This window comes from Homo sapiens, chromosome 2, assembly GCF_000001405.40.
Source record: "Homo sapiens chromosome 2, GRCh38.p14 Primary Assembly".
Taxonomy (NCBI): Eukaryota; Metazoa; Chordata; class Mammalia; order Primates; family Hominidae; genus Homo; species Homo sapiens.
The window spans coordinates 81,581,273-81,607,324 of NC_000002.12; the positions used below are offsets into that span (position 1 = coordinate 81,581,273).

The 26,052-nt window shown below is 37.4% G+C and overlaps 1 long non-coding RNA gene across 25 annotated transcripts in view; it reads left to right on the forward strand.

The window, feature by feature from the left end:
- The window catches only part of LOC102724542 (uncharacterized), a 368,996-nt gene that overhangs the window by 99,535 nt on the left and 243,409 nt on the right, over positions 1 to 26,052 (forward strand). For 5 of the 25 annotated variants that reach the window (NR_187713.1, NR_187711.1, NR_187708.1 and 2 more), the window contains one exon: positions 698 to 3,323. The exons of 14 other annotated variants lie outside the window; for them this stretch is intronic. This is a non-coding gene — a long non-coding RNA (uncharacterized LOC102724542). Of the gene's footprint in view, positions 1 to 481; positions 3,324 to 26,052 lie in introns of those variants that run through there. 6 more of the 25 variants (NR_187710.1, NR_187705.1, NR_187714.1 and 3 more) reach the window with 2 other exon arrangements.

Genomic DNA, 26,052 nt, shown 5'->3' on the forward strand with positions numbered 1-26,052 from the left:
GAACTTTTGACTGTTTACAGTTCATAAAGTTACCTTCATAAATTACATGGGCATGGAGGGAGACAGACATCAAGATCCTGGAGATGAAGGAAGCTAACTCTTATAAGACAATCAACAACAACAAAATTATCTTTGCTCCTGATTTTAAAGGGCTAAAGGAAGAGGAGAAGGGGAACATGAAGGGAGAACACATGCATAGGAAAAATGAGGGGAAATAAACAAAGAGAAATTGTGTAAGGTGAGAAATGACAGTAAAATTCACCTATAATATGGAGGCTGAAAACCATTTTAAAAATGGTGAAACCTTCTATTCTATTTGAAAAATATTTTTTGGTACAATAAAAAATCTTCTAGCACTCATCCATCCCAATTCTTTCCCAACTGAAATGTCAGTGAATTCTACTCTACTCATAATGTATTGTAAAAAAAAGTTTTTTCCCCTTTAACTAAAAAACTTACCTCAATTTTACATATGAACCAGAATGAAGAATTCTACAAGAAAGTAGAAACATGACAGAAAGAAGAGTACAGGAGAACGGGTGAAACTTGAAAACTGATAGAAATGATAGAACAGGATCTATACTTCTGCAGGTCACTGAAGTGAAGAGTTTGATGTTCTTCCTAGATCTTCATAGACGTAGAATTGCCTGTGTAATCTCCTTACCTCACTAGTCTGCCCTGTCTTCCTTCTTGCTAGATGAGAAATAAAGAAAACAAGAAAAGCAAGGGAAAGGAGAGAAAAAAGGAGGGATACAGCAAGAGGGAGAAAGAAAAGGACGAGAAAATAAATTACTAAAGGGAGAAAAGAAAAAGAAAAAAGAAAAAGCAGAGAAGAAGTTAATCCCCTGGTGAATTTTTCACAGGCTATCTGGAACTCAAAAGTTCAATCTTTATCCATCTATCACTAAGTCAACTTCTGGAACCTCTTCTTCTAGAACCAGTTAGGGAAGCCACTGAAGGAGGGTTATAGGACAAAATATATGTTGGTGTGAACTTTAAAAAAAGAATTTGTGTTTAAGGATGAAACTGTAATGGTTTTGAAATTGCACTAACCACATTTGATTTGAGCTGAATCAAAAGTAGAAAAATCAGCAAATTCTACATAAAAAACTAAGGAAGAGGAAGAAGATCCAACTTAGAAAATCCAGTGGAATAATAATTCCATTAGTAAGATAACGATACAGAGAGATGATGACACTGGAGTTTTCAGAGAGCATTGAGGCAATATGTAGCTATGGAATTTGAAAAAAAAAATGGTTCATTTTTGGAAGATTACTACAACAGTCATGTTAGATTAATTGAAATGAAGGTTGGTGTTATAAGGCTTTAAAAATAGTCCAACTGGAAATACGAAAGCTTGAAAAGCAGCTTTGAAAAACAAAGACAGAGGGGAAAGGGATGAAGAGAAATACAACTGAGATTTAAGATATAAAATAACTGAAATCTGGAACTAATCAACTGTGAAAATCAAGCAACGAGAAAGAGTTGTAAATTATTTTAAAATATCTGGCTCGATCAACTTTGCCAGTTTTAGAGCCAGTCTTTGCAAAAAGGGAGAAACAAAACAGATGAGACAAGAAAGGAACATCCAGCATGCTGTGAACCCCCTGAGACTGGCCATGATCTGAAAGAGTAAAGCTCTATCCAGGGAACCTTTTCTGAATCATAGTGTCAGACTTCCTGCTCTTTTCAACTCCCCTGGTTTTATCATCTCTACTCTGTTTCAGCAATCTACTGCCATGGCCACATCCTGAATGTTGACAATACCCTAAACTGTGCCATTTATAAGATCTCTGACACACCAACCTCTCTCCTCTTACAGCTCTCAATGATGTATATGACCTCAGCTTATTCTAATATGCTTACAGATTATACACCCGTGATATTGATGGCAGTGGCTGCTGCTGTCGTGGCTGCTGCTATCACGCCTGCTGCAACACAGAGGTGCGACTGGGGCTGCACATTTCACGGAGGTGTTGGGAGTTCCGCCCCTTCTGATGTGGGGAAAGAGATCCCCAGGTGCCCCTGCATCTGCCCAAACTGTGGCTGTGGATCGGAGGCTCCAGGTTGGCAGGTTGGGAGCTTCCGGGTGCAGCTGCGACCGCCCTCCCAGGTGCAGGACCCTGGTGTTTCTGCAGCCTGCACCCTTGGGGGCCCCAGGAAAGACCCATATCCTTGCAGGCTTGGAGGTGTTTGCTTCTTCTGCCTGGCCTCTCTCGGCTCCCGGTGCATGCTCTCATATCTGAGTGGGGGTTGGTGCTGAGCCCCGGGGCCGTGAATTGCAGCAGGAGGCAGATTTATTCCTGGGCAGAAGGTGGCAGATCCCAAGTAAGGGGACCTTCAAGCCAGGGAGGGCCTGAAGGCTGGTGGCTGGGCTACCAGTCCCACCGACCAGAGTGGGGATTCGTGGGCCTCTTCTGGGCCACCCATAGCCACCCATGGACCAATCAGCAAGCACATCCTCCCCTCTGAGGTCCGTAAAAGCCCTGGGCGCAGCCTGAGCAGGGCAGAGGAAGGCCAGAGGTGAAGGAGTCAGAGAGGCGACAGGATAGGCAGCTGCCGAGAGAAGTACGCCTCTCTGCTGAGACCTGGAGATGACGGGAAGGCCAGATGCAGAGAGGAGCTACCCTCTCTGCTTAGAGCTGCCAGGAGGAGCTACCAACCTTCTCTGCTGAGAGCTGCAGAGATGACCTGCTGGCAGAGAGGAGCTACCCACTGCGGGTCTCCTCTGATCTGTTGTAATGCTGAATAAAGCTTCTTTTCATCTTGTTCACCTTCCACTTGTCTGCATACCTCATTCTACCCGGACGCAAGCAAGAACTCGAGCAAAGGCACAACCAGCCACAGAGGTTTCTGGCCAGAAAATCGACACCCCAAAAGTCCTATAACAATCTGATTCTAAAAGCAACATCATCTTTTCAATGTAATTCTAAAAGAATTTGGGATTATTTTATTTAATTTCAGGATCCCCTCTGAAGAAAATCAACTTACAAAGGATGGCAGGTCTTAAGAAAGGTACTTAGCAAGTGCTGGTACATTCTAAGCAATCAATATTTGTCAATGTTCAGTAATTGTACAATTGTACTAGAGAAAACAATTCCAGGGGCTTAAAATTATCTTATACAAGGATCCACTTTATTATTATTTTTTCTGTTTGTTTTGGATAAATTACTGACTCCTTATCTCAGTTATGTTATGTGTTAAATGTTTACAGTGTTATTTTGTATCTCTCAAGGGCTTTTGTTAGAATTTTCAATGAGATACCTTAAAACCTCTAAAAAGAAAATGGATGTTATAAGTAAATAAAAATAAGTCTGAATGGCCAAAAATATGTGTATGTTTGTTCTTACTATTTATCGCCAAGGACACCAATTCATTGGCCCTTTTTTATAGCAATATGTAACTCAAACTTCTGGTTTATTTGCTTTAGACCTGAAAGACATAAATTTATTTTTCCATTTACATAGCAAGTTGAAGTTGTGAGGACAGATACAGTAGAATGTGTTGATTTCCACAGTCTCTAGAAACTGGCATTTCTCTTATTTCCCAGTTCAGGGATTTTCAATTCACAGTATTTCACATTAATGTTAGACTTGCTATAAGGTTATTTCTTAAAATATCTTATGCGTTGCCTTCAGGAAAACATTAGCTTGCTAGCTTTCTGAGGTATTACTCATTTATATCACTCAAAATAATGACCAGTGAATATATCAGAATGGAGACCCACCTAGAGGCAGCATGCCTTAATTCTGTAGTGCCAGCAGTGTGTGACTAGATGGCTACCTTTCTTACTTATTGTTATATAGCAAATTTTAGAGGCACTTGTGAGAATGATTTTTTTCAGATCAACCACATTTGTGTATGAGCAAATGGAGTTTGTCTCAAGTGATCTAGGCACATGAAATCAAATTATTCTTTAAATTACCTATTGAGAATGTCGCTCTATTGTTACCTGCAAAAAATACATACAACTTCTTAATAATGTATTCCATAGAACATGTTGAAGTTTATAAGGCTCTTGGATTGTAATATCTCATTATATTCTAAAAACAAGTTCAGTTAGGCAGGGCTGGAATTGTGCGTCTCCTTCCAAGAGCCTTGCTTAAGACCAGCTGAATATATAGTAGGGGACAACCACAGATGTTCAGTGTCACCACTAAATCCATTTGGGATTAAGCAGGATCTGTCAATAAATACTTCTGTTAAGGCCTTGGTGTAGTCCTATGGGATAATGCGAAGAACGTAATCACTGTAGGTGTTTTTATGATGCACAACACAATATTATGACATGACATTGATGAATTTGTGATTATTGTAACTGGCTGTCTTTTGTCTCATTTCATCATTTCAATTATACATCAAATAAAATATCTGCAATGAATGGAAAAGTGTTTTACCTGCTGGTATAAAAAACGTTGTGAATATTGGGATTAGACAAAACTGGACATAAATCTCCAGGCCATCGCTTACTAGCTTTGTGTCCTTCAGCAATGTACATTCTCTCTCTGAGACTCCATTTCTTATTTTAAAATAGGGATGACAATGCTTTCATCATATGGTGGCTATGAAAATTAAGTGAAATAGCATGTATAAAGGGCAAATACAGGTTAATAAACGTTATTCTTCTTCCTCTCTCCTATCTTCACCCTAGAGAGCATCAGGGATGCAACTCACATGGCAGTTTAACTACATGTCTAAGATTTCTATCCCTGTATTACATGATCCATATTATCCAATTCTAACACGTGGGAAAATCCAAAACACTGCAAATTGCAAAGAGAAACTGTGCAGTAAAGGACTAAAAATATCAAGTGTGTCATTCAGTTAACGTTAATGTTTCAGGTGAACTGGAGACAGAACTTGTGTTATTGTGCTGAGCTATAACATCTATGCCCTCTCTAAGCCTATATGGAACTGTAATAAAGTATTTTATTACAGTAGTCCATCTAGGTTTGCTTTCTTCTATGAAAATAGTGGGTCCATGTGTTTGATGCTGTACAATGTAATTCGACAATTAGTTAACTTGTAATAAAGTAAATGAGTCAGTTTTGCTCAATTCAACTGACTTTAGGTGAAGCAATACATAATTTTTTTTTTTTTTTTTTTTTTTTTAAGAGACGGAGTCTCGCTCTGTCACCCAGGTTGGAGTGCAGTGGCGAGATCTCAACTCACTGCAAGCTCTGCCTCCCGGGTTCACACCGTTCTCCTGCCTCAGCCTCCCGAGTAGCTGGGACTACAGGCACCCGCCACCATTCCTGGCTAATTTTTTTGTATTTTTAATAGAGACGGGGTTTCACCGTGTTAGCCAGGATGGTCTCGATCTCCTGACCTCGTGATCCACCCGCCTCGGCCTCCCAAACTGCTGGGATTACAGGCGTGAGCCACCGCACCTGGCCAGCAATACATAATATTTTATAACAACTGTTACTCATTCATATCTGATATTTGGACATTAATTGATAAAAATAGTGATTTTATAAAAGAAGTTAAAGAGGTGTTTGTTATGGAAAACATGGGCAAAAATGCTGAATAATATCTGAAACTAAATTATTTTATATATTTAAAAATGTTTCAAAATGCAGGCAGCCCTCTGTTTATAGGATTCCAATTTGCATACATTTCTGTTACAATGCTTTAATTAAGTAACACCAGTCCCCAACAACATGATTTCAGTAAACATGCTATGTGCACTGTAATTGGATAGAAGTACAAACTTCACTGCTATAGCTCTTCGGTCTATCAATCACTACACAAAGACAGATGCACATCATGAAGACTGACCAATCATATAATTTTTTTCAAAGTCTGTTGGTTATTGGCCACTGAACATCTGTTATTTAGTTCACACCTAGACAGCAAAGTTTGTGCTTGTGTAAAAAATGCACTTGAAAATATTTTATGACATTGAAATTACAAGAAGTTAAATATTAGAAGCTGATCTAACCTTAGAAAGGAATATGACACTTTGCCAAGGCATAGAAGAGATACCTGTTCTTTATCATGTTATACAACAACAGGCAGGGAAGCAATGTTCAAACTATTCTTTTTTTTTTTTTTCTTGAGACAGAGTCTCACTTTGTTGCCAGGCTGGACTGCAGTGGTGCAGTCTCAGCTCACTGCAACCTCTGCCTCCTGGGTTCAAGTGATTCTCCTGCCTCAGCCTCCCGAGTAGCTGGGACTACAGGTGCGCACCACCACCCCCAGCTAATTTTTGTATTTTTAATAGAGACGGGGTTTCACCATGTTGGCCAGGATGGTCTCGATCTCTTGACCTCGTCATCCGCCCACCTCAGCCTCCCAAAGTGCTGGGATTATAGGCGTGAGCCATTGTGCCTGACGTCAAACTATTCTTAAACTTTAATTCCCATGTTTCTAACATTTTAAAATATGGTGTTCAAAGATATTAGGTCTACTTTAAAAAATGTTCTATAAATGTATAACTGACAGTGATTTAATGTTTTGATAAAAATTGTAAAGGTCATGGAATAATCGAAATATTTCACATTGACTATTAAGATCCTTTTGTAGATTTCAGGTTTTATTAGCATTTTTACAGTCCCATACTACTGTGCCAAGTGAGGACTACTTGTATTTAAAACATTGTAAAATAGAGCTTATGCCTTGGTTTCATGTTTTAGGTGAAAGAGATGACTAAATCTAGGATTTTTATTTCTTCCATGGGTTATGTGAAATCCAAATATATACTTGGGTAAACTCCTGTGTTTTTATTTCGTCGTGGTTATCAAATGGCTTAATTGAGACAGAAATTCAAAGCTAATTTTTCTTTTAACCTACAATAATCATGGAGCTTAGAAATAGAACAATAATCATGCCTTTCATCTGTGAATGTGGCCATTTCCATTGTAATGCTCTGACAACCAGAGTTCAACCTTTCAGCAGCACATCTGTCCATGAATAAAATTTGAGTATGTAAGAAGCTGAAAGCATGGACAAGCAAGGTTCAAGGTTTGAAGGTTCAAGGCTTTTCATAGAATCTACTGATCTGGAGTATTTCCTTCTCTTTAAGTTCATAGATTCAAATTTTACTTGGACGCTATGCAAACAACTGATGAGTCACATTCTTATATAAGTTCTGATGGATTTGTTTTAACTTTCCAATTCACATGCAGAAGTAACACTTTCCCTGCTTCCTCTCTATCATGTCTATCTGTTGCCATCCTGCTTTTCTGAATTTGATCCGAAGCCTACATCCCAAGGTTAAATGGAGTACCCTTATCTTTTTTTTCTTTTTTTTTTAAAAAAGATATATTAAGACAAGAGAAGAAGAGAAGGTAAAGTTAGCATGATTTTTTCATAGTACAATTTTCAGAATATATGCAACTCATACCCTAAGACTTCCAAAAAGGTTTCAAAAGGAATTTGATTTAAGACAGAGCTTTTGTGTTTTGGTTAGAAGTAGAGACAGATAAGTACTGTTTGGTGACTTTTTTCATGACTTGTATTAAGTTGAGGTAGAGTAATTAAGTGACAAATATCTCCCAAATTTAAATTGTTCAGCACAACTAAAACTTATTTTTCACTGAATTTGGTGTCTGTTGGGTCCATGGGGATTGAGAAGCCTTGGGGTGAGTTTCTGTATCATGAAGTCATTGAGGGTCCCAGATCCATCAATCTGGAAACTCAGTCTCCTGTGTAACCAGAAGATGGACCAAGCAAAAGAGAAGGCCCACCTGTTCATTTTCTTGGCTTGTAGGTGACCACCTCACTTCCAATCATGTTCTGTCCATGAGAATTCACTACAAAACTTGTCTTTACGCAAGGGGCTAGAATATGATCTATTGATATACCCAAAAAAGAAAAGGACCAAATATTGGCAAGCACATGAATTTTGCCCTATGGCCTTATTTAGACCCAGGCTACTTAGATAAAAGCCATCGTAGATCCAGGACTAGCCACATAATTTGGACAGCCCAGTGCAAATGAAAATTCAGGGCTCCTTGTTGTAATAGCAGGAAAATGGGGATAATGATACCTTTGTGGGAGGGTGTTTATAATGTATTTGTACACTAAAAACATAAAAAGTACTAAAATATAAAACTTTTTTTTCTTCTCACAACTCTTTTTTGACATTGCATTAAAAAAAGTTTCCATTTACTATAACCCTCTTTGCAACATGCAGATATTTGCAGGGATTATGTACAGTCTCCCATGCACTCAGAGCACTGGCCCAGGAATCTGTGTCCATTTGTGACTTACCAGCTGCTGAGTTCTCCCTCCTTCCAGCTGCTGAACTGACATGTTTATTGGCCGTGAATGAGGAATTCGATCTCCCTTTCCCTCAGCTTGTCATCCCAGCCCATGGTAGATAGTTGATCCTCAAGGGATTACAAATCAGACATGCTCAGTACCTGCATCTGGGGTGGGCCAGCCCAGAGCCTCATCCCCACTAAGTCACTTTCCCAACAGCTGTGGGGCTGCTAGCTTAGGACAGGGATCATGTCACCCTGAGGCACCATGGAGTGTGCATATCCAACCCTGAGATTCCTCATGACTTTGCCCAGGCCCCTACTAGGGTTGAAGGACCATGACTGCATGCAGGTCTCCTCCTGAATGCAATCCCTGCTCTAGGAGGAGAGCTGTATTAATCCTTGGTCAGGGGAGAAAATATCAAGGCTGCGCAAGCCCAGACCTCAGGGCGCTGGGAGCCAGTGGTTGAGAATCTGTGCTGGAGAGGCAGGGAGATGGTATTGCCCATGAACCAAGATTAAAAGCCAGTATTTGTTCCATTGTCCCATTGGATTTCACTTGCAAACCACAAATTTCAAAGATGAAATCATTAATAGTTTCAAGACAACAGCAGAGCATTAACCCCCTGGGTGCAAGTCCCTTAGAACTGCACTGGCCACACACCCATGAAGCTGGCCCTGCACATACCATATTGGTTTAACCATACCAGTGTCCCTGCAGATGCTCTCAGTAAAAAGGTGGTCTTGAGGTGTCTGTCTTCTCCTTTCCCATTCATTACACGAAAGCATCACTGTACAGAAAGTACGTTTGCAAAGGCTTTTAAGGTAGATGCCCTCTCAAAATCAGTAATCATGAACTTTCTGCCCCATGCTTTTGATATTGTCATATATTCTTGTGAAATATACATATTTTCTTTTCAAAGATTGCTTTTTCTGAAATACTTTAAGGAATTATTTCCAAGTTACCCTTTCTTAAGACCTTCCATGATCACCTAGACAGAAAGAACTCTTCTTCCCTTTAATTGGGTGGTTTACTACAGGTGAGAGTGAGCTTATCAGAATCACCATGGGGGCATTTTAAAACCATCTTTGCTTACTCTTATTCTCCACACTCAGGATTTAGGCATGAGAGGCACCTATAAATTGAAAATGTTCTCTAGATTTTTATAACAGTTTCTACCTCCATTGAAGTATTTGCTTTAATGCCAAGGCTTTATGCAGACATCATTTAAAAAAATCAAGTATCACTTATGTTTTCTATTATGCTTGGGCACATGTCAATCTCCCCTAGATTGCACATAATTTTTGCATAGAAGGTCTTATTTGTCTTTATTTTCCCAAGACACATGTAACCTTAACTAGTATATAGTGGGTACTCAATAAATATTTGTGATTTGAATCAATGGATTGAGATTACTATAAATTTGTGTATATAAAACCTCAAAAGAGAGTGCCTACACAGAGTCTTACCACAGTCTACCAAGTCAAATGCCTGGTGTTGTTTCAGGATGATTATAGATTTCTATGTCCTGTCTTAAATAAAATAAGGCATTCTTTCTGTTTGAGAAAAAAGTCAGTGTGGACATCAATGCTTGGGGCTTGAAGCTCTTCATAACCTGCCTTTTTAGAGAGGTATAAACCCTGAATCCTGTAGGGTCTTTCTTGGTGCTTTGTTACTGTTTTTTTCTTTCAGACAACTACTTTATTATTGCTCTCGTAGGCATTACAAGAGAATGTATCCACTTGACTAGAATGATGATATTCTATTCTAGACTGTACAAAATATTTGCATATTTTCTTAACTCAGAGTACTTAGTCAAATGACTGTAGCCACTGCTTTGGAGCTGGTAAAGTCCCTGTGGATAGCACTGGCTCTTGCAATTACTGTAAAAGCCAAGATGGTTTCTTCACTTTCCATTGCATTATGTCCACATGCATACAGTCAAGGACAGCTTTGGACTGATACTACTTTGCCTTTTACTTGATCAAAATATGCACACGAACCAGAAACTCTTAATGATATAAGATGGTTCTCAAAAAGCATTGCTCAAAAATGTTAAATTACAATATTATAATACGTTGCCATAAAGCTGGAACTTTTTGTAAGAATAACAAGGTGATTCAGCTAAATTAGTTGTGATGTTCTCATTTATGGTAAAGTGTCATTTTTTCTTAAGAGGAGCAATTGCTATTTTTTTTACTGCGTATTCAAGGCCGTTTAAAACTACCAACATGATGAAGCCTTATTTAATTAACTCCAGCTGACCTTGACCATTTGTCTGCATCCCCTCACTTGTTATAGTTTAAGCTTCTTTACATAAAATGTTTTGCATTTATTTATAATATAAAATAATCTAACACAATACCGCATGACTTGACATATAACATTTGTAACTTGGCTGCCACTTATCATATATCTAGCGCTGTTAAGTGCTTTTCATAAATTATATAATTCAGTTACCATAAAAAGTTGGTGCTATTAATATTGCTATTTTATATACAAGCACATTGAGACTTAGAAAGTTATTTACAGCATAATTATCAAAGCAGATTGATAAACCTGGAAATTACAGGAAAACACAAAGGAACTATTAAACCATACATTTTAAAAATAATGCCTATGGATCTACATTTTCCTACCGTGCTGGGTGGTTCATAGCCATCCTAAAAATTGAGAATCACTAAAATACCTTTAAATGTATGTTTGATTTCCTCAACTGGACTTGAACTTTCTGAATGGAAAGGAACACAAGTTATTTTCTCTTCCCAATTTCTCAGTTACTACTATGAGATGTTGTGCACCATGAGATAACTGTTTGTAAAGGCTTTGGGGTAAGACAACTGTAAAAAAATCTCAATTTTTCTAGGCTCTAGTAAAGGACAATCATCAAGTCAACTGCATACCATTACTGGCTGGACTGATGAAATAACGTGGCTCTTGAAGATATTTGACAATTGGATTCCATTTATTGACTACTAAAAGGAAAAACTGATTACTTACCTAGAAAATAATGTCTAGAGTTAGGTCCATGTAATCAAATTTGGGGCATGTCACCTTTTAATAATTCCCCACATGATTTGCAATGTCCTTTTAAAGACAAAGCAGTGAAGGGACTAGGGCAGAGCTAGGAAGACAGAAAATACATGATCAGAAATCAGTTCTGCAATCCGTAGTCAACCAGTCTCAGTACAGGTGTAAGCCTCTTAGAGGATAGTAGAGGGAAGAGTTGGAATGCTTCTCTTTACCCCCTCAACATGGCCAAACACCATAGCCAGAATACAAACAAGTTTGAATTGTTCTCTGAAAAGTTCTGCTCTTATTAGCAGAGTGGTTCCCATAATAGGATGCATATTGGAACCACTTGGAAAAATTTAAAGAACACTGATGCCTTAGCCTCAGCCCTAATTCTGATTTAATTAGCATAGAATGTAATGGACGTGGGGATTTTATAAGTACTCAGTGATGATAATTTGCCTTTAGGTTTGGAAACCACTGCTGGGGGATTGTCCTTTTTGTATTTCAGTGAATAGGCAAAGCTAAGTCTGTTCACTCATTATACTTGCCAACATTGAGCAGATGATGGCAGTAAGTGAAAGGTGTATTCTCACCATCTTTGCACTCATTATCACTCTCTGAGTTTACCCACTTTTTGGGGGGCTAGTCCCGGGATTCTCCACTTCCTCTTGTACCTATTGCCATTTGAGTTGTCTCCCTAAGGAGCAACTCTGCTTATACTCTTGTCCTGCTGAAATTTTTCCAGTGACTTCAGTGAATGAGTAAGACTCTTAAGCAACGAAAAATATCTGATAGTAGACTAAAAGTACTGAAGCTGCACATACATAAGCTTGTTTTTTTTACTGTGGATGGACCTTGCCGTGATCACGTTAATGACTACTTTTACCTATAATCACCAAAGGAAGAGATAAATCTCTGTCCTACTTCAATCTGCTAATGGATGCCTTGAAAGGGAGATGAATAAAGATTAAATAATTCTTCAGGGTTATGGGATGAAAGCTTCACACAGTGATTCTCCACTCTATCTGTATATTGGCATCACCTGAGGAGCTTAGAAAACTGTCACGGCACCACCTCCGCCGTCTCTGATTTAATTTAATGTCACCAGGTCCAGATTTAGGCCTTTTTATAAGGTCTCCAGGTTATTTCACTAGGCAGCCAAGTTTGAGAACCATAGCTCTGATGAAAGACTAGTTTATCATAAAGGAATTTAGTTTAACAAAATAATAATTAAGGTAGGAGGAAGCCAGAAATAACTGATGTGAAATGTGGATATTTAGCAGGAGGAAAGGATGTTGCTAGGCAATGGGATAACCTAGGCTGGGAAAGGAATATTAGGGTGACTGAGAAGAGAAAGCAAAAGCCAGATAAAGAGACACATATTGTCAGACATAATCAAAGAACATGAAAATCCTAAATTGTAGTTTGTGGGACACTGGGAAAAACCCTTAACAGATGTTATTCCAACTGAATATTAAAATCTGCCAAACCAGAAATTACTTTTTCTTCCTGCTGAGACAATTATGGAAATAAATAATTTTGGGAGAGTAATGTTTTCAGCTGTTATTATTTTTTCAAATTTTGTGAATGATGTTTTTAAGACCTATGGTGGCTGTGGGGAAATATCAAAGAAGAGAACCTGCTGGCATGACATGGGTAAAGTCAATTTTTTATTTTAAAGAAGGGGGATAAATTAGACAAAGGGGTCTAAAACTTTAGTTAACATACACACACACACACACACACACACACACACATAAATGATGCAGAAATTCTTTGCTTAGGGTAGCACATAATAATTTAAAATATGTCGTATATTAAATTGGACAATTTGCTGTCCAATTTAATACACAACGTATTTTAAATTATTCAGTGAAACAATGTTCAAAGTAGCATTGATCACTTTCTAGCCCTTTAATATTTGATTGTATTCATACAATTATTTAATATTAAATATTCCCTATTTGATTACTTTCTGTCTTTATAGTATGTTTTATTCATAGGATATACAGAGAAGCAAAGAAAAGTAACTCATTATTAAGTTAAACAAGCTAACTTTTTTCCTCATGTGAAATTTATGATTTTGTGTGAAGAGCATGAAGGTCTAATCACACTTTTGGTTCCATTATGTAGGATATATCAGCTGCTAATTCTCAATCAGAAAACAAAGTTTTGGTTCCTTCTACTTGGTGCCTGCCCTAGTTATTATTGTATTAAAAGCTTAGTTTTTCTTTGAAGGATTTTTTTTTTTTGAAAACTTGTTCATTTAACTCCTTGTCTTTGCCTTGAATACCTTTTCAATAATTTAGATGCCCCAAGCTTACCTAGTTTCCAAAAGACTGTGCCCAAACTGGCTGCATATAAGTCTTGAAGAGCTGTCAGCTAAGATTAAAAAAAAAAAGGAAGAAAGAAAAAAATGTTACATTTCTTATTAGGCATTGCAATGTTCTGAATTGCTTTAAGAGATGTACTGGGTAAGAAATTATTGAAGCTTTAATAGTGGAACCTGAAACATTATTCTGAATATACAAGAGGAAATATTTGGGGAGCTGGAGGCTTTGCTATGCATTTTTAAGGTTTACCATGTATGTGGCCATACCTTCATTCACAAAAGCAATTCAGTTTTCCTCCCCAGAACTGCTGCTATTCATTTTATGCTGCATCTCTAGTTTTCATGATTAATTTTAAAGTCCATCTATTTTTAATTGGTTATTCTTCATTATTTTAGAATATATCTAGCCCTATGAAAAGAAAAACATAGACTAAGGACTCCTCATTTGCTTTAAGATGGAGGGGTTTTCAGCAAGATAGACAATTTTTAAATTAAATTAAGGGAGAGTATGTCTCCAAAGAGAGCCTTGCAGGCAGATCATGGACCAGTTCCAAAGCTTTTGTTCAGTAGAAAGCCTCATGCACAAAAGACAATGGATCACCCTCCTTGTTCTGGGGTATGTATTGTACACTTTATACATTATCATGTAATCCTCAATTGAGTGAAAAAAATCTGAATGAAATAGGCATCCACTCTTCTAATAATAACAGAAAAGATATATAGTTTTTATTATGTGAAAGGCATTATCCTAAATGCTTTCCACATATTCACTTATTTTATCTTGACATTTATTTTATGAAATGGGTAATAGTATATTTCTTCACTTTATATATGAGAAAAAATATGTACATGGAGAGGTTAAATAACTTGCCCAAAATCACAGAGCTACAAAGTAGGAAAAACATTCTAACACAGGTAATTGAAACTGTACTTTTTTGTAAATCACTATGATTGCCCTCATTTTTAATAAGATATACGTATTTGAATGAATTGATGAGATCTATCATGTGTGAAACATATTATACAATTAAGCAAAATTAAATTTAAAGGATTTGAATTTCTCTAGGTTTCATTACAATCAAACAAAGCATTTAAAAATACTTTTTTTTAGTAGGGTTGTCATATTCATTGAGCATTTTTCATAAGTTAAATGAAAATGTAATATTTCAAACCTTTATATGGATGTACCCACTGTCAAAGTATCTTCCCAGCCACCAGTGAAATTATCAGAAAAAGAATTATAGTAAAAAAGAGTATTTGGAGAAAGTGACAAATGTTGTTTCTCTGCACTTCATAGGTATGTCACTACCCAATAATTCATCTATCTCAGGATCAGTACCTGTGAGAGGAGGACAGAATTTCAATGTGAGAATTAAAACCTAGAACCTATTTCCAAGGAAAGAACCCTAGAGTGGATTCCAGAGTGTGGGTCTGTGCTCCCGAACAGCCATTTTCAGCTCCGGAATCCTTGCCAAATCAACTGAACAATAGCGATCAACAAACAAATAAAATCCATTGGGGCTGAACTAATTTGTTATACTAATACGCAATTATCTGAATTTACAGGAAAGTAGACCTTCATTTTATTCAGTTCTGGGGCTTAGAATAGTGACACCTTGCCTAAATAGAAGTCAATCATAAGCACGCTCAGCTGTCTGGAACAAAGAAAATCCTGGGGGAAAAACAAAATAGGAACATAACCATCCAAGCAGCCAAAATGATGTCTAGGTACCAGCATGCCATTGTAGGTTTAGTAAGGCCTTTGGTCAAATTCAATTAAATTTCATTAACATAAATTAAATGAGTTTTCTGCTTGTCTGATACTATATTGCATGAAATAAGCACAATAAATTTTGGCCAACATCAGAGATTATGTCTGAGAGAGTACAATTAAAATAATAGACTATGTGTTAGGTAGAGTAATGCCCCCCCACCCCAAGGTAGCCACTCCCAAATCCCCAGAAACTGTGATAGATTACCCCACAAGACAAAGTGGAGTGAAGGTAAAAGATGGAATTAAGGTTGCTAATTAACTAATCATGAATTATCCAGGTGGGCCAAAGTAATCACTAGCGTTCTTGAATGGGTGGGGCCTTAATGGGCCTTTAAAAGGGAAGCAGAAGCGCATGTCAGGTAGTCAGATAGTATGAAGGAGATTTGGTGGCTTTAAAGATGGAAGAGGCTTGTGAGCCAAGGAATTCAGTCGGTGTCTGCAAGAGGAAAAAGACAAGGAAATGGATTCTCCTCTATAAACTCTAGAAAAGAATCCAGTCCTGCCTGCATCTTGATTTTTAGTCCAGTGAGACCTATTTCAGACTTCCAACCTCCAGAACTGTAAGTAATACATACGTTGTAACTTGATGCAGCAGTGATTGATAGGGAGATAATACAGGTTATTTGGTTCATGAAAAAGTCAGTTTAGGTGATTTGATGATGGGGTCGCCTCCATTCAAAAAAAAAAATAGGCAGCTCAGCTCTCATTTGAAGTTTGTTGTGCCGCTTATTCTGTTTGTCCTTGGACTCTCTTCTCACCCTTTCCCTGCTCTGCTCGGTAGGGCAAAGTGCGTAAACCTGAGGCTTAATTCCCCAGGTTACTGTGCTAGCTTGTTTCCTGATGATGCAGTAGTTTGCTACTTTCCTCCTGAGGTCAGGAGGAAGGGGGAAAACGGAGCATCTCTGCCTAACACTCCCTGCCTCCACTAGTACCTCTGGAGGTGACTTGAGCCTTTTTTTGTGCTTCAGCTATAACTACGGGGTGATGCTTGGCAATTTGACAAACCTTTCTGCAGTCCCAGCTTGCACTAATGTCCCTGGACCCGGTTTCAGCCCTTGTTAGATGGCCTCAAGTTTTTAGCTACAGAAACACACACTCTCACTATTGTCTTTTAGTCCTTTCAGCTGATGCTTACCATAGAGAAGCCTCATTTTCACCTGATAGTCTTCCTAGCTTGCTCATCACCTGTGTAACAAAGTATTTTGCTTAAATTTCCTCTGTTTGGAATACCCAGGGAGCTTTTGTTTTCCTCACTGGAACTTGCAATGAGTAATAAATTCCCCAACAGTATTAGATTGTTTAGATAAATTGAGATATAATTCTAACAGCCACAGTTCTTGATGGGGAACATGGTTTTGGATGACTCTCAGGAATAGGAACCTTGAAGAGCGAATAAATCAGGGAACAGTCTCTGTGTAACAAGATTAAGGTGAGGTTGCTGCTGCTACTCATTATAGTGATAACAATATCAACAATGATGAAAGAATCAAAGAAGTGGAAAACTGCTATTTAATCGTTTTGAGCTGAGCCTTTATCAAAAGTCATACCTGGGTAGGCTATTTGCTATGTAGGAGCTGTGACCCTTGTATAAGCCGCCTCGCTGCTCTGTCTTGGTTGCTGCATCTGTAATGTGAGAATGATAGTAATATATATCTATTACTGATACTAAGGGGACATATAGAAAAAGCTGATAAATTGGAACATGGAACACTCACATGTTGGCAGTAATCCTGAGCTGTTATATTGAACTTAAGTATTAATAAAGAATTCTGACTTTTGTTTAAAGATGAACACTCACTTTTTAATCTAAATTCTCTAAAATTTATCTAGGATTCACCTTTTCACAGTTATTTTTACTCATGTTTCGAATACGCTGCTGGCCTAGGATAAGGAACTCCAAATATTGCTTCTTCCTAGGTCTTACGTTGCCCTATTCCATCTGCCTGATGAATTTCACTTTGTAAATTCAGACCTGAAGCTGCTCATGCCGCCTGTCACCACATACTCTCAATACCAAGCTCTGTCTATCTGATTGGACTATTTCCAATTATTTGATGCTGGGCTGCACCTACACCAGGAAAGCACTTGACTCATTTAACCCTTCTGTGCCCAGCTATAGAAGAAGACATAACAGGAGCCACTTTACATATTATTTGTGAGCACTCATGTGCTTGAGGACAACGATAATACTCCTCATTTAGGATAAAAAGAGACACTTCTCCCAGACACTTAATACTACTGAACAAATTGTTGTTCCCCTTGTTCTATAAAACAATGACTAAAGCCATTTTCTGAAAATGAGTATTGTTAATCATTGCATCATTAACCTTTACAATGTCAATGTGTCCTCCATATCAAATTCAGTTAAATGACTGCTGGAGGTAACAGTTAAGGGAGCATTTCACGTAGAGGAACATAGTAATGCTTTATTTAGTTCTAAATGCACTGTGAAAGATTCAGGTGAGAGCTAATATATGTTAAGAAAGCAAAGTACCAGAAAGAATAATTTCGCAGCAAGAACGTGGAAATCTGACAGACAAAATGTAACCTGCCTTCTAATCTTTCACATTTCTTTGTTCCGTAGTTTTCATTGCTTTTTATATTACTTTCCTTCAATAGGTAAGACACACTATCTAAATTGCATACAAAGTATAGAAATAACAGAATACCTTGTGTGTACATGGTGTGTATGGGTGTGTGAGTTTGTGCGTGTACATTCTGAAGCCCATTTGTGTGAGTGGCATCTCTTCCATTGTGGCTGGAAGCAATTTGTCTCCTCATGCCTTCTGCTTGCGGGCAGGTGGCTCAGAATCGCATTTTATACTTTTTTTTTTTTTTTTTCACTGTTCCGATGCTCCACTGGTTCAGATCTCATCAGAATTCATGACTTACATTTAAGAAAGTCTTCTGTAAGAACAAGTTGTTTCTTGGATTAGCTCCTTACATTTAAATTTTATCAGAAGATTTTGAAGCAACTTCTGTACATTTTAATTTTAACAAAAGGGTCTAGGTTGAAAATCAAAATTGTGTTTACTAAATATCTAGTGTGGCTCGCTTCCTATCAGGGTAGGGACAGAATATTAGAAAAAGTCAGTCAAATTTGTTAAACTTGCTCTGAAAGTGGAGAAATATTTTCTGTATTGGCAAACCAGCCACATTCACAGAAGGAAACTCCTGAATAATTTGGTAATGGTGAGTTAAGACATACAAAGCAGTGTAAGTTGTTGGTCCTCTAGAGTGTTCTCAACATGTCTTCACAGGAGACTCTCAAATTGATGTAATAAGATTATAGATACCCACAAGCTTTCCTCTCCCTCAAGAAAAAATATATAGAGAACAAAGAACGGATGTTATCTTTTACAAGGGATAATTTGAATCTAGATTTAATTATGTAATGGTAAGTCATTTGCACACTTACGTATTTTAACTAATATTAGTAATAAATTACTTAGAGCATGGTTCCCAACAGTTCTTTGACACTTGGTGTGTCTAATCCCTCACTGAGAATCTCAGCTCCAATACCTAATAAACACTGAAACATTGAAGATTGGGATCTGTGAGTGAGGCTTCTGAGATTTGCTATATCAAGAGTCAATCATCAAAGACCTTCACTTTGTGAATACCATCAATCAACTCCAATTTCTCCTGCCATATCCCCATCATTGATGTTAGGTTGCTTCTATGCACTGCCAGATCAGCCAGTCAGATTCATCAAGCGAATAAAAATGTCTGTCAAACCAATCATTCCAGGCCATTTAGACAAGACAACTTACTGATTAAATTAATATTTCACTCCTGAAAACACTGCACTGGTGTCATAAAGACAAAAGTTTTTACACCTTGGTTTGAATATCTTTTTATGTAAAACTACTTCCAGCCACATGCATGTGTGGACAATTTGTCTTCAGTTAATTTCACTTCATATTTTGTACCCTGTTGGCTTTCCGTGGGGACACCTGGACCTCCTCTTTTTACTTTAAAATCCAATCTCAAAATTAATGGTCCTTATGATAAACAGTTATATCCACTGGTCAAAATGTATACTAATGTACATGCAAGTGAAAATTGAGTATGGCTTCTGTAGGATGTATGCCAACAAATGACTTAATTTTAACATTATGTCTCAGATATCAGACGAGGAGAGGTATTTTGAGGACTGAAGAGTGTGTCTGGTGGCCCTGAAATCACTCTGAAGAAAGCAGCCAATCTCACCTACCTTGAAAACCTTCCATGTTAGTAGGTTTATGTGATCTGGTTTATCATTCAGGGCATTTCCTCGTTTGAACTTCTGCAGTGCTTTAAACTTAGGACTGTAAGTACGCCTGTGGTGAAGGAGAACAAAGTATTGGAAGAATTATGTGATTGTCAATATCTGACTAGTGACTAAGCTGGGACTGGAATTTAGACATTGTGGCCTCTAGCACAGATTTATTTTAATTATTTTAAACTTTCTGTATCACTTTGGAAATAGATTGGAATATAAAGGTACAGCTATATGATCAAGTTAAAGTAAGGTGCTCATACATCTCAGTTTGCTGGGAAGAGTCCACTTCATGTTATTGCCTACTGTTATTATCTCTCCCTTTCACTCACAGATGTGTCAGGGTTTGGCTGTTAAAGTAAATAATTGCCTTTAAGTTTTTTTAAAAGATTTTTCTTTGAGAATGAGGTCTTAGTTCTTTAAAATAATTCTATTTTATTTTCACCAAACTTTTACCGAGTACAAAACCTAGCTTTACTTTTATTTATGACCTAAGGTTTCTTTACAAATCTTGAATGTTAAACTTTACATCTTGGACTTGGAGTGTACAGTTGTGACAAACTGACAACTATGCCTGGACATGACCCTGCCACTGTTTTGACTTGTGAGTTCTAACATTCTCTGCCTGTCTTTTCTGGCTCTAAAACTCCTCCATCTTAGAGTTTAGTTTACCGTGGCACTGATAGCTGGAAACATCCTTTCTCTATCATGATGCAAGTTAGCATGCTGTTTTACTTTCCTAACTCTTAAATGACTGTTAGAGAATTTCAGAGGATTAAAGAATTTCTTATCACTTTTATAGGTATGGCCTCAATTCTAAGGCTTCATGATTCAGCTTGTTATGAACAATAGTCTAGTGCATGAGATTGACATTTCCAATAAATTTCTACACGCAGCAGCTGAGCGGTTTGAATGTGTAAATATTAGTGATCAAAATGTTGTCAGAGCTTTCCAGCTGGACCCATCAGTTCATTTGGCAATTAGAAAACGAAAAATAAATAAACCAAGCCCTCTCCTAAATTGTAATCTCCTCAGTACACACATTATACTTTCTTGCCATCTTTTCAATGATCTGGAGGATGCTTTCTTTTTTTTTTTTTTCTTTTGAGACAGTCTTGCTGTGTCATCCAAGCTTGAGTACAGTGGTGCTATCTCGGCTCATTGCAACCTCTGCTTCCCAAGTTCAAGCGGTTCTCATGCCTCAGACTCTTGAGTAGTTGGGATTACAGGCATGTGCCACCATGCCCAGCTAATTTTCGTATTTTTTTTAGTACAGATAGGGTTTCACCATGTTGGCCAGGCTGGTCTTGAACTCCTGGCATCATGTAATCCTCCCACTTTGGCCTCCCAAAGTGCTGGAATTACAGGCATGAGCCACCACACCTGGCCATGGAGGATGCCTCCTTGATAAATTTTAAGATGAGCTGGAAACTAACAAAATAAACAAATACGTGGTATCTGAAGCCCTGCTATTTAAGCCCAAACTGCATTTCCAATATTAACTATGTAATCTTTATTACATTGCTGAATGTCACTATGCCTCAGTTTCCCCATTTGTAAAATGGAGATTGTTATAATAATCTGTGTCAAAGTTATTGTGAGGATTGAATGAATTACAATATGGGAAGCCCAAAGTATATAGTACCTATTAATATTTCAGCCTGGAAGAATTCACTTGGTTGGAAGTAGCTAACATTCAATGAGTACTTATCAAATGGTATCTTTGCTTTCAAACCAAGTTTAATATGTGCCCAAGTTTAATACATGCCCAAGGTTAATGTAGCATAAGCTCTGCTTTTTGAAATCATGATTCTCTCTGCTTTTAACAGTTACATGTTCTTTCTGCTTGTAGAGAAATGGACATAGCAGAAGAAAGGGTCAAAGGAGAAAAGGCTAAGTTTATATTGTAGAAAAGATGGCCACTATTTGATGTCCCTCTCTTATTAGAGAAACTAGGAAGGCTGAGCAGGCTTGTATGAATCTAGAGATTAAAACAGGAGGAAAGATTGTTACCCAAAAACAATGCACCAAAGTTGTGAGAATGTAAGGAAGCAAGAGGAGAATGAGAGGTCTCTGAAAGCTGTAGGACAAAGCCCAGAAAAAAAAAAAAGTTTGAGCCTGATACTTTTAACTTCAATTTCTGGTGCATTTGCAGGTTGCAGGTCAACCCACATGTCTCTGAACAGTTAGAAATAAAGAAGCTTTTTAGGATGGGCAACGTCATTTAGGGAACTGCTGTTGCCATCTACTAAGGAGACTACTGGAATAGCCTTTGAGACTGATAACCTCACATCAATATATAATATCTTGAAAAAAGAAATGAAGTATTCACTCACTGATTCTTTCATCTTTTTCCTGCTTGGAAGTCTCTTGTGAACATAGACATGTAATAAAACATAATTGGATGTATTTATATAAAGAAAGTATGTGAATAACTCTGTTAACATATATAAACAGAAGAAAGGCCAATGTTAATGTTAGATCATGTTGGATTTTGAGTTAATGAACCATTTATGACTACAATTGACAAAATGCAATATGGAGCACTGCCTGTCTGTAACAACAGCACAGATGGCTAATAGAAGCCTTTCTTATAGAAATTAATATTGAATCACACCCTAATGGCTTAGAGGGACAGATCAGCAGAAAGAAATCCCTTCTGGAAAAAGGGAAAGGCCATCCTATTCATGGCACAGATGGCACAGAGTAGCTGACAGAAAAATGTTTATAGGAACAAAGACTGGAGAAGACCTGGAAAATCCTTGATTTAGGTCTGTGAGTAGCAGAAACACTTTGCAGCTAATACCTGCATTAGCTCAACCAAAATATATCTAAGGCAAGTAGAACTCCACTCAAACTAGTTCAAATATAAGTAGTATTGCAAAGATACAGGAATTCTGTGGTACACAGTGATGTAAGTAAAGACACATGACATAGAAAATGAGGAATCATTAGGCAACTATTCTCCGTGCTTCGAGGCACGGAGACATTTTAAATATTTGTTCACTTCTTCTTTCAACCTGGTTTCCTCTTTTGCCTCTGGGACTCTAGCTTGCATATACATTAAATTTCTATAATGCCCATTCTGGACTTATCTCTAATGATCTTGGAATTTAGCTCCCAGAACTAACAACTTAAATTGTTTAGTGTTTCATATCTAAATTCCCTGGAAAGTAGATTAGAACATATTTATTTTTTCTTATTTTCTTACTATAAATTGGTTTTCTCTAGGTCAGTTAATACCTGATCTGATCAACTATGAATCAACCCTTTGGTTATACTGTACCAAACATTCCCAATATATATAGCGTGTATTGAACCATGAAATTTCAAAGAAATGGAATGTGAACTGTGTGGGTATGCTAACTTAGATCCTTTACTTATCAAAGTCAATGACCTCTTCTCATTCTTCTCAAGTTCTCCATAAAATTAGTATAACCAAGTCCCTTTTCTTTCTAAGGTCTATTAAAATATTCCATAAATTTTAATTTCATGCATCTTCCTGGCTCTCTTCCAGGCACTGCTTTCTTGGATTTCAACTTATTCCCCCCCTAGTAAGAGCAACATCATTGTCAGTTTTAATAGCTACCTCTTCAGGGTTGATTCTTGCTTCTCTACTCCCACTCCTAACGCTCTTAAAGTTCAAGCCAACTGCCCATTTATCCACTGTCAAATATCTTTGAACATGTTCTCCTGAATGTTTATCAGTCAATTCTACCTGTCAAAATGTAACTATATTATTCCAATTTGTTTGTATTTCATATTGAATGTGGAATAGAGGTGAGGCTCTTAAATTCCTGAATATTAAACACTTCCCAAATATATTGTAAATCTCATTGATGGGCAGTAGAGCATCACAGTTATTAAATACTTAGATGTCTAGAGCAAAACTTTCCTGCTTCTAATCTCAACTCTTCCACTTGTTGGATTTTCTTAGGAAGGATGTAACTCTTCAGTGTCTAAATTTTCTCCTGAGTAAAATATGAATAATTATAGGAACTACTTTATAGAATTATTGTCAGGATTGACTAGCATGCAACATGATCTGCTAACCTTCTTATTTCTATTGTAATGAATTCATTTCTATAGGTTTGGTAAATGGGAAAGTGTATTGTATATAATTTTTTCAATCCTTTTATATTTTATATTAATATGTAACAGCTCACAGAAAAGTATGCTAGCACAACTGAACACAGCAAGTTGTACAAAACTGGAGTAAACAAAAAGTCACTCCAATCCTTCCTCTTAGATCAATTTAGCCATTGGCTTTGTCTTAGAAGTTCTCAATTCTTCCCAAACTCTGTACATTTTGCTCTTCATAATTCAGATTCAACCCTACTTTTCATCCTCTTTCATCAGCTACATTCAGCATTTTCTTAAAAGACAAAATTCTGTGTTACTATGGTATTTTTCATTAGGAACTTAATATTTCTTTACAGTCATTCTTGGGTATTTGAAGATTGTTACAATTTTTGTTATACTGGTTACAAAGTTTCAAAGGTCAAGTGATCCATTCCAGCTGCATTTTCCCCCTTAGTCTCTGTTGTATTTGTGCACATGATTTTTAGGAATGCAAACACCTGTACATATAAAGTCTTGAGAATAGGACGTGGCCCACTGAGTATATTTTAGGAAATTTCTGCTTTGTCAATAGCTAGGATTTGCATCCTAAAATTTTCTTATTAAACAATGGGATGGGCCGTATTTTCCCTAAAGAGATTCTACCTAGATTATCATCAGGGCAATATCCTTCTTGCTTCTTAGCTTTTAAAAGATGTTGACAAACTAATGGTTAAAGGAAATGATAAAGGTAAAAATAAACTCAGAGTGATATTGAAAGGATTTTTCCTAAAGCTTAGTGCTGAGTCACCTATTCCATGACTCTTCTACCTAGACACCATTTCCCTACCCCAACTCCTGACATACAGTTCTTTTATCTTTTTAGGAATGGAGGGGAGTCTATTAACCTTAATATGTCATTTGTATGAATGATGAAAGAAAGGATCAAACAGTATTAAATACAGCCAAGAGAGCACATGCAGCATACTAGTATTATTTGTGACATCTTCATTCCTCCTCCTGGAAGCTTCAAATCAGCAACATTAACTTTGGAATACCCACTTACCCCCACTTTCATATTAGATTTTCTTTACCTACCCGGGGCATATAGATATGACAAAGGGAAAATTTAAATACCTCCAATGATTCCAGTGAGAGGTTTGAACATTCTTCATCTTCTAAATTCAAGGACTCTCCCAAAACGCTTTCTGATTTATGGTTTCTGCTCTGGAGTCTGCACTTAACTGAAGCAAGATTGTTCTCAGTGTTTTGATACTCTTTGTTGAGAAACCCTACTAGAGATAAGTAGCTCTAATCAATGTTTTGTGTAAATCTCCCTCTCCCATGTTTTCTACTTCAGCAAATGACATCTCATAATTTCAGGAACTCAAACTCAAAATGTCTTTGTCTTCACTCCTTGCCTTTCTCTCAATCCCCCATCTCCAGTCAGTTGGTAAATCCATAGTTTCAATTCTGCAAAATTACTTAAATTATCCCATTTTCCCCCAGTCATTTGATACTGACTGCATACAAAATTCAGCCACTTCTCATCTAAAAGGGTATTTTAGCTTCAAATCATCCCTTCTCACTGGCTCTCAACAATCAATTTTTAGTTCCTTTCCTAGAATCCTAATGATGATTAGAGGTATATTTCAAAGCACTTATACAATCAATATATTCCCTTTATTAAAATGCACACATAGAATAAAAAATTCTAAAACATGGGTAAGGATTTCAAGGCTCTGTGTTTTAGGGTTCTCCAAAGAAACAGAACTAGTAGGAGATGTGTGTGTATGTGTGAGAGATGATGAGAAAGGGGGTGTGCAGGAAATTTGGGGATGGGGGAGAGAGATTTATCATAAGGAATTGGCTCATGTAATTATGTAAGCTGGGAAGTCAGAATCTTCAGTGTGGGCCAGTGGGCTTGAGACACAAGCCAACCTATGGTACAGTTCCAGTCTGAAGTCAGTCTTGCTCTGGAGGTCGGTCTTTTTGTTCTTTTCATTCCTTTAACTGAACAGATAAGGTTCACTGACTCACATTATGGAGGACAATCTTCTTTACCCAAAGTTCACAAGTTTAAATGTTAATTCCGTCAATAAAACACCCGTCAAGTTGATACCTAAAACTAACCATCACACCTCCTGAAACTTATAAGCAGCCACTCAGGCTTTCTATGCCCTGCATGGACTGCAATTTACCCTGTACTCGAGGTACACTAAATGCTTTCTTTTTTCTCTTTTAATTTCGACACATATCTGTTAAGCACCTACTTTATTCTAAATACTGAAGACAATATGGGCCAAGATACAACCTTTATTCTTCTACTTCTGTTCATACTTTCCTTTCCTTGGAATTTCTCCCACTTCTCTACCCAAGATCAATGCTAGTAAGACTCTGCTC